Source organism: Homo sapiens, chromosome 19 (genome assembly GCF_000001405.40).
Source record: "Homo sapiens chromosome 19, GRCh38.p14 Primary Assembly".
NCBI classification, from domain to species: Eukaryota; Metazoa; Chordata; class Mammalia; order Primates; family Hominidae; genus Homo; species Homo sapiens.
The window spans coordinates 23,138,105-23,147,557 of record NC_000019.10 but is presented as its reverse complement, the minus strand read 5'-3'; the positions used below and the strand labels follow the sequence as shown (position 1 = coordinate 23,147,557).

The window sequence follows — 9,453 nt, the reverse complement described above, 5'->3', positions numbered from 1 at the left end:
ATTTTGGATTAAATTTTTTTTTCTATTTATTGCATCCACAAAAATATATTTTAGTATAAACTCTCTGAAGTTTCCTAAGCTGTAGTTTTTGAAAAAAATGTTTTCTCCAAATCTATTTTATTTGGAGAGTTTTTCATTAATACAAATTATCTGTCTGATGTCGAACAAAATTTGAGCAATGGCTTCAGGGTTTGCCTCTAGTACAAAATGAGTAGAATAAGATTGTGATACAAGTAAAGTTACTATAACTCTCTACATTTCAATGTTTGTCTTCAAAATAAATCATCTTCTGAAGTTTAAAGGCTTATATTTTCTGAAAAAATCTTTGGACAGTAATTGCACTTTTAATGATTTTATTAAGTATGAACTCTGATGTTGAGTTGATGTGAGCAGATATTAATAGGGTTTTCACTTTCTTTACACTTGTATATTTATTCTCAAGTATAAATGTCCTGTGCAATAAAGTGTGAGCATTGGTTAAAAGTTTTGCCACTTTGTTTACACTTGTAGAAGTTTTCTCCAGTATGAATCACCTTACCTACAATTAAATGTGACAACAATTTAATGGCTTTGTCACATTCTTCATATTTCTAGAATTTCTCACCAGCATTTCTTTGACATCTGGAAAAGTTTGAGGTGTTGTCAAAAGCACTGTTAAAACTTTCAGGTTTGTAGAGTTTCTCTCTGGTATGAATCATGTCTGTTAAGAATTAAGGATTTGTTAAAGGCTTTGTCACATTCTTCACACTTGTAGGGTTTCTCTCCAGTATGAATTATCTTATGTGTAGTAAGGTGTGAAGATTGGTTGAAGACTTTGCCACATTCTTCACATTTGTAGGTTTTTCTCCAGTATGAATTACCTTATGTTTAGTAAGATTTGAGGACTGGTTAAAAGCTTTGCCACATTCTTCACATTTGTAGGGTTTCTCTTCAGTATGAATTATCTTATGTGTAGTAAGGTATAAAGATTGTTTAAAAGCTTTGCCACAGTCTTTACAATTTTATGTATGAATTGTCTTATGCCTAGTAAGGTGTGAGAACCGCCTAAAGGCTTTACCACATTCTTTACATTTGTAGATTTTTTCCCCAGAATGAATTATCTTATGTGTAGTGAGGGTTGAGGACCGGTTAAAAGCTTTGCCACATTCTTCACATTCATAGGGTTTCTCTCCAGTATGAATTCTTTTATGTGTAGTAAGGGTTGAGGACTGGTTGAAAGCTCTGCCACATTCTTCACATTTGTAGGGTTTCTCTCCAGTATGAATTCTCTTATGTGTAGTAAGGTGTGAGATACGGCTAAAGGCTTTGCCACATTCTTCACATTTGTAAAATTTCTCTACAGTATGAATTATCTTATGTATAGTAAGAGTTGAGGATTGGTTAAAAGCTTTACCACATTCTTTATATTTGTAGGGTTTCCCTCCAGTATGAGTTATCTTATGTCTATTAAGGGTTGAGGATCGGTTAAAAGCTTTGCCACATTCTTCACATTTGTAGGGTTTTTCTCCATTATGAATTCTTTTATGTTTTGTAAGGGTTGAGGACCACTTAAAAGCTTTGCCACATTTTTCGCATTTGTATGGTTGCTCTTTAGTATGAATTTTCTTATGTTCAGTAAGGTTTGAGGACTGGTTAAAGGCTTTGCCACATTCTTCACATTTATAGGGTTTCTCTCCAGTATGAATTCTTTTATGTGTAGTAAGGTTTGTGGATTGGTTAAAAAATTTGCCACATTTCTCACATTGGTAGGGTTTTTCTCCAGTATGAATTCTCTTATGTGTAGTAAAATGTGAAAACCAGTTAAAGGCTTTGCCACATTCTTTACATTTGTAAGGTTTTTTCTCAGTAATTCTTTTATGTGTAGTACAGTTTGAGGACTCATTAAAGGCTTTGCCATATTCTTCACATTTGTAGGATTTCTCTCCAGTATGAATTTTTTTATGTTGAGCTAAGTGTGAAAGAATGCAAAATAATTTTCCACATTCTTTACATTTGAAAGGTTTCTTCGAAGTATGTCTTATCTTATGTCTGTTTGAATTTGAAAATTTATGAAAGACTTTCACATATTTGTCACACTGAAATATTTTGCTATGGGAAGTTGTCAAACACTGGTTATGTCTATTATAACCTTTTTTGTGCATCTTAAACTCATCCACATTTTTACAGCCTTTTCTTAACAGTAAATTCTCATGTCTACATTTTTTATATTGTCTCAGTATGACTTCTTGGAAATAATCTTTTATGCCTTGCTCTGGCCAAAGGTCTTGGGCAATATGAGAACATATAACTGAAAGAAATAAAAATAACAAATTACTGCATGTACTAGACTGAGTATAGTTTATAAACCTAACCTATAAAGTTATACAAACTACATAACAAGATAGCATAGCAAAATACCACAGGCCCTAATTTCTTCATAAACATATAAATGTAACAAAAATCCAAAGTACATTTGTAAAAAAGTAAGTTGAGTGTGTACAGTGCCCCAGGTGAACACAATGCAAAGAGCTATATAGAGGAAAAAAGAAAGTCTGTTACATTTTACCCAACACAGCTCTTCCTCCCCTCCATTGTAACATAGTGACTTTACAAGTAAATTACCAACTCTTGGTTTCCTTTTTAAAAGACAAGTTAAAATACTGGCACATACATCTTTATTTCTGGTTTATAGGGGCTTTTCTAGACACTGGTTTCTATCTCTTATGACAAAAAGTTCTGAAAGAAATGGTGGCATACTTTAAAATGACAATTTGAGCCTGCTGAGACAAAAAAATAAGTTTTACAGCATCAGAGAGACTGTGGTATCACAGACAGAGAACAAATGTAGCAAGTGATTACTAATTTTTTTTTTTTTTTTGAGACAAGAGTCTTGCTCTGTCACCCAGGCTGGAGTGCGGTGGTGCAATCTCAGCTCACTGAAACCTCTGCCTCCCAGGTTCAGGCGATTCTCCTGACTCAGCCTCCCAAGTAGGTGGGACTACAGGCACATGCCACCACGCCCAGCTAATTTTTTGTATTTTTAGTAGAGATGGGATTTCACCATGTTGACTAGGATGGTCTCGATCTCTTGACCTTGTGATATGTCCACCTCAGCCTCTCAAAGTGCTGGGATTACAGACATGAGCCACCACAACTGGCCTACTGATTTTTAAGAAGAAACACAAACTCCTTTAACTAAAAGCAAACACAAAATTTTAGACAAGACACATTTTAAGAACATGTGTGAGAGACTCCCAGAATGTCTAGCCAAAACGATTGCTTTTAGACTATGTCAGGACAGAACTACATTATAAAGATTGTGACAGGTAGATTTTTTTAATGTCCAAATCTCAATTAAAGATTACAATATATACAAAACAGGGCAATATAATTCCATCAAAAATATTATAAAATTTTCAGAAGGAAACCATAGAAAAGATGTACACATTAATTTTAAAAATTGATAAAAAATTGAATATTCAATGAGTGAAACAGGAACACAGACTACAGAAAATCAGAAATGAAGATAAGAACAAAAATATTGAAAAAATTAAAAAATAGAAATTATGGGGGTAAAAAATACAAGAAGAAATAATACCTGAAAAATCCCTCAGTAAGAAAAATAATGTAAACATGAAGAAGCTTAACAAACAAACTAGAATACATACAAAATATTTATAACAAATACATATATAAGCACAATTTCAAAAGTCACAGAGCATCTTGGGAGCTACAAGATAAAAGTGATGTGTCATATACAAACATAGTCTTACGATATAACCAGTGAATTGTCAACAAAAATTTTGTAGGCCGGAAAGAAACTGTGTGATGCAGTCAAAGTCCTGGGAAAAAAAATAGCTTTCAAGTGAGAGTAACACCATCAGCAAATCTGTCCTGAAAAATGAAAAAATGATGTTCCAAAATAGCCAAATTCTGAAAAAGTATATTGGCACTGCATATACTTATAAAACTTCACAAACATATAAAAGATGCTGAAAGCAGTTCCTGAAACGGAAAATAAAAGGATTCAAGAAAATACCATATAATCAAACAAAAACAAATTATGTTCTGAGAAAAATATGCACATACATAAAAAAAGGATTTTTGTAGCATTATCATAATGGTGCAGAAAACATTTTAAATTATTCTCTAAAATTTGAAAGATAAAAGCATAGCAATTATTATAAACATTTGTTAATAAATATACAACATAAAAAGATGGTAGCAACATCAATGACAAATTTCAAGGCAGATGTAATAAGGAAGAATTTTTTATTCAGTTGAAGTTAATTTTTTACCAAACCAAAAATATATTGTTTTTTTTTTTCTTTTTTGAGACGGAGTCTCGCTCTGTCCCCCAGGCTGGAGTGCAGTGGCACTATTTCGGCTCACTGCAAGCTCCGCCTCCCGGGGTTCACACCATTCTCCTGCCTCAGACTCCTGAGTAGCTGGGGCTACAGGTGCCTGCCACCACGCCCGGCTAATTTTTTGTGTTTTTAGTAGAGACAGGGTTTCACCGTGTTAGCCAGGATGGCCTCGATCTCCTGACCTCATGATCCATCTGCCTCGGCCTCCCAAAGTGCTAGGATTATAGGCGTGAGCCACCACGCCTGGCTACTCTTGTTTTTTTTAAGAGGTTTTATGTAATCCCCAAGGTACCACAAAGAAAATATCTGTATAGATACACAAAGAGAATAAGAAATTAGTAAAACCATATCAATACAAAAATCAAAAAGACACAAAGAAAGACAAAAAGAGAAAATGAGGGACAAAAATGCAAGAATCAAAATAATAAAATAACAGTAAGTCTTTCTCTTTCATAAAATTATTTAAAAATATATATAATTAACTTTCAAATTGAGAGATAAACTTTTTTTTTTTTTTTTTTTTTGAGACAGAGTCTCACTCTGTCACCCAGGCTGGAGTGCAGCGGCGCGATCTTGGCTCACTGCAAGCTCCACCTCCCAGGTTCACGCCATTCTCCCACCTCAGCCTCCCAAGTAGCTGGGACTACAGGCGCCCGCCACCATACCCGGCTAATTTTTGTTTTTGTATTTTTAGTAGAGATGGGATTTCTCCGTGTTAGCCAGGATGGTCTCAATCTCCTGACCTTGTGATCTGCCTGCCTCAGCCTCCCAAAGTACTGGGATTACAGGAGTGAGCCACCGCGCCTGGCCAAGAGACATACTTTCAATAAATAGATTTATTAAACATTTTAAAAACCAAGATCCAACTTGCCTTTCTACAAGTCACTTGAGATCTAATGATAAAAACAGACTGAAAGTGGGAAGATGGAAGTAGATGCTTCATGCAAATATTAATCAAATGAGAGCAGAAGAGGTCAAAATAATATTATGCAACTACATCTTAAGTTAAAAACTATCATGTTTTATAAAATGTACTTGAAGTCAAAACTCTAAAGAGACAAAATAGGACCTCAAAAAATTATAGATTTATTCACTGGGAACCTATGAAACATTTGTATATACACGTGTGTTTCTGTGTATGTGTGTGTGTTTGTTTCTGTGTGTGTATGTGTGAGTATATATATCTCTCACATTAGGGCTCTAAACATATAAAGCAAATATCGACAGAATAAAAGAAACACATAGAGAGCAATATAATTATTGTATACTTTAATATTGCACTTTCTGTAATAAAAATAAAACAAGACAGAATATTAGTAAGAAAACAGACAACTTGAAGGCAGTATAAAACAATTATTCCTAACAAAGGTATAGAGGGCACCCATCAATAACCTTAGGATACACACTTTTATCAATAGCTCATAGAACATTTTCCTTCATAGACAACGTCCTAGGCCAAAAAAAAAGTCTTACCAAATTTTTTAAAACTAAAATTGTATAAATTACTTTATATGACCAAAATGGAATGAGACTATAAATAATGAGAAAAAAACTAAAAAAATTCACAAATATATAAAAATTAACACACTCTTGATTGTGCTCTTGTAGAAAGGTTGAAATAGTTAATATTGTAAATGTGTCTATCCTGCTCAATGCAATCTACAGATTACAAGGTGGAGTGCAGTGGCACAATTACAGCTCATTGCAACGTCAAACTTTTAGGCTCAATTAATCCTTACCCCTTAATCTCCCAAGTAGCTGGGATAACAGGTGCACAACACCATGTCTGTTTATTTTAAAATTGTTTTTTTTTTTTTGAGACGGAGTCTCATTCTGTCACCCACGTTGGAGTGCAGTGGCGTGATCTCACCTCCCTACAACCTCTGCCTCCTGGGTTCAAGTGATTCCCCTGCCTCAGCCTCCCAAGTAGCTGGGAGTACAGGTGCCCGCCACCACACCCGGCTAATTTTTTTGTATTTTTAGTATAGACGGGGTTTCACCGTGTTAGCCAGGATGGTCTCGATTTCCTAACCTCATGATCCACCCACCTCGGCGTCCCAAAGTGTTGGGATTACAGGCGTGAGCCACCACATCTAGCCTAAATTTTTTTTTGGAAAGATGGGGTCTCCATATATTGCTTGGGCTGGTCTCAAATTTTGGGGCTCAAGCGATCCTTTTGCCTTAGCCTCCTAATATCCAGGGATTACAGATGTGAAACACCACCATGACTGGCCATGAAATGAATACTTAGTTTTTTTTTGAGACAGAATCTCGCTCTGTCACCCAGGCTAGAGTGTAGTGGCAAAATCTAGGCTCACTGCAACCTCTGCCTCCTGGGTTGAAGCGATTCTCCTGCCTCAGCCTCCCCTGTAGGTGGAACTACAGGCACTGGCCACCATGCCTGGCCAATTTTTGTATTTTTAGTAGAGATGGGGTTTCACCATATTGGTGAGGCTGGTCTTGAACTCCTGACCTTGTGATCAGCCTGCCTCGGCCTCCCAAAGTGCTGGGATTACAGACGTGAGCCACCACGCCCGGCCTTAAATAGTTTTAAGATGGTAAATTTTAGGTTATATGTTTTTACATCTTTTTTTTTTTTTTTTTAAGACCGAGTCTTGCTTTGCCCAGGCTGGAGTGCAGTGGCGCTACTTTGGCTCACTGCAACCTCTGCCTCCTGGGTTAAAGCAATTCTCCTGTCTCAGCCTCCCAAGTAGCTGGGATTACAGGTGCACGCCACTACACTCGGCTAATTTTTTGTGTTTTCAGTAGAGATGGGGTCTCACCATGTTGGCCAGGCTGGTCTCATACTCCTGACCTCAAGTGATCTGCCCACCTTGGCCTCCCAAAGTGCTGGGATTACAGTCACGAGCCACCACAACCAATCTATTTTTTAAAAAGAATAAATTAAAAGATACAAAATTATAAATTTTTTCAAATATGACCTTCAAGTCACAAAAGTGTTTTTCTCAAAGGAAATATTTATTATTAAACACAAGGTGAAAATAAAACTACTTTCATGACTACTCACTTACACAAGAAAAAAACACCATGGAAAATCTGCTGAGAAAAAAAAATATATAAGATGTGCCATAACCAAAGTAGGGGTCATATTTATAGATACACACATACACACACACACACACACATAATCTGATTGTGATAAACATATGGCTGATTTATCTCTTAATTATATCCCACATTGACTTATATGTACAAACAGAGTTGCAAACCGCCTAAAACTGTAAAACCAGCAAACACAATAAACTGATATTAGGAAACCCACACCGAAAAAACACACTGATATGGAACTGCAAAACAATAATAACAGAAATGCTTACTCATAAAATCTGGTATGCAACGTTGATGTAGCATTAAAAAGAATTTGTCAGCTGAGCACAGTGGCTCACGTCTGTAATCCCAGCACTTTGGGAGGCTGAGGTGTGTGGAGCACCTGAGGTCAGGAGTTCGAGACCAGCCTGACCAACAAGGTGAAACCCTGTCTCTACTAAAAATACAAAAATTAGCCAGGCATGGTGGCAGGTGCCTGTAGTCCCAGTTACTCGGGAGGCTGAGACAGGAGAATTGCTTGAATTCAGGAGGTGGATGTTGCAGGGAGCCGAGATCGTGCCACTGCACTCCAGCCTGGGAAACAGAGCAAGACTCCATCTCAGAAAAAAACAAAAAATAAAAACAAAAAAAGAGTTTGTCTAGATAATGCAATATTAGACTGAAACTGTACTCATGGAGGAAAGGTATTTTGAATCACTGGCATCCACTATATGGTAGTAAAATTTCAGATAAAATGCAGTATAATTATAAATAGAAGATTCTATGAAAAACTTTTGATAAACATTTAAAAGAAACTAAAAATAATTTTTAAGTTTTAAATATATGCTATTTATACACAAAATGAAACTGCTGTAATCCAAGCTTAGAAGCAAAGAATAGCTTTACAATGCTAAATAAAGAAAAAAAAATATATTTTTTGCAGAATATAGTTAGGATCTCTGATATATAAACCAAATATTTGAGAATAAATCATGTTATTTTTTAGACATAGGCTGACAAACATGGGTGAAAATCCTATAATTCCATTTTGCCTGTCTATTTCTTTTTGCCTGCCTGCCTACTAATTATCTAATTTACTTCAGACATAACATGTCAATTCTAGTATATTTCCCTAAATGTTTCAATCTAAAATTACACACAAAATTGAAATAGAAAGTAAAAATGTACAGGGAGAGTGACATCAGTAAGATGGAAAAATAAAAGGTGCCCTATTTGCTTATTTTCCTACAGCAAGAAAATCTGTCAGCAATCCCTGAAAAAAAATGCCTTTATGAGAGAAACAGGCATCATGGCTCAAACCTGTAATGACAGCTACATGGTACATTAAGGCTGAAGAATTGCTTCAGGCAAAGATTTCAAGACTAGTCTGGGTTATGTAACAAGACCCCATCTCCAAAATAAGTGCCTTTAAGAGAGCTCTGAGATTCAGGAAGGAAGTTGTGAAACTCTGCTAATGCCCAAGATTGAGGAGCATCCTTTTTAGAAGGCAGGCTTTCATTCAGGTGGCAAACAACAGGACCCCTGTTCTTGGCTACAGACCAGAAAATTATCCACCCAACTTGGTCCCACTGAGAATTTTGAACTTACTCTGAAACCATCCAAAACTCTTCCCAGCCAAAGTCTGGAAGAGGTCCTGCCTTTTCAGAGGCCTGGAGAAAGACACTCATTTATAGCCACACAGACAAGACTGCAGACCTTGGTCCTTATTGTCTTCCCCGAAGCACTTGCATGACTCAGTTCCAGCTCTTTGAGCCACAGTTCATGGTCAGCTCTACCTACATGGAAACCCACACAGAGACCTGGGGAAATCCTTTCTGGTACCCAGTGAAAGCCATTTTCTTTTTTTTTTTTTTTTTTTTTGAGACGGAGTCTCGCTCTGTCGCCCAGGCTGGAGTGCAGTGGCGGGATCTCGGCTCACTGCAAGCTCCGCCTCCCGGGTTCACGCCATTCTCCTGCCTCAGCCTCCCAAGTAGCTGGGACTACAGGCGCCCGCCACCACGCCCGGCTAATTTTTTGTATTTTTAGTAGAGACGGGGTT

General features: G+C 36.6%; 1 protein-coding gene across 15 annotated transcripts in view; it reads right to left on the bottom strand.

Annotated features, from left to right (window-relative positions):
* Positions 1-336: 336 nt before the first annotated feature.
* ZNF730 (zinc finger protein 730) overlaps positions 337-9,453 on the bottom strand; it is a 72,011-nt gene continuing 62,894 nt past the window's right edge. For 13 of the 15 annotated variants that reach the window (XM_047437995.1, XM_047437996.1, XM_047437997.1 and 10 more), the window contains one exon: positions 337-2,287. In XM_047437995.1, the coding sequence (XP_047293951.1) occupies positions 1,002-2,287 (1,286 nt within the window). In that variant the 3' untranslated portion in view covers positions 337-1,001. Of the gene's footprint in view, positions 2,288-9,002; positions 9,191-9,453 lie in introns of all 15 variants that reach the window. The other 2 variants (XM_047438002.1, XM_047438003.1) reach the window with 2 other exon arrangements.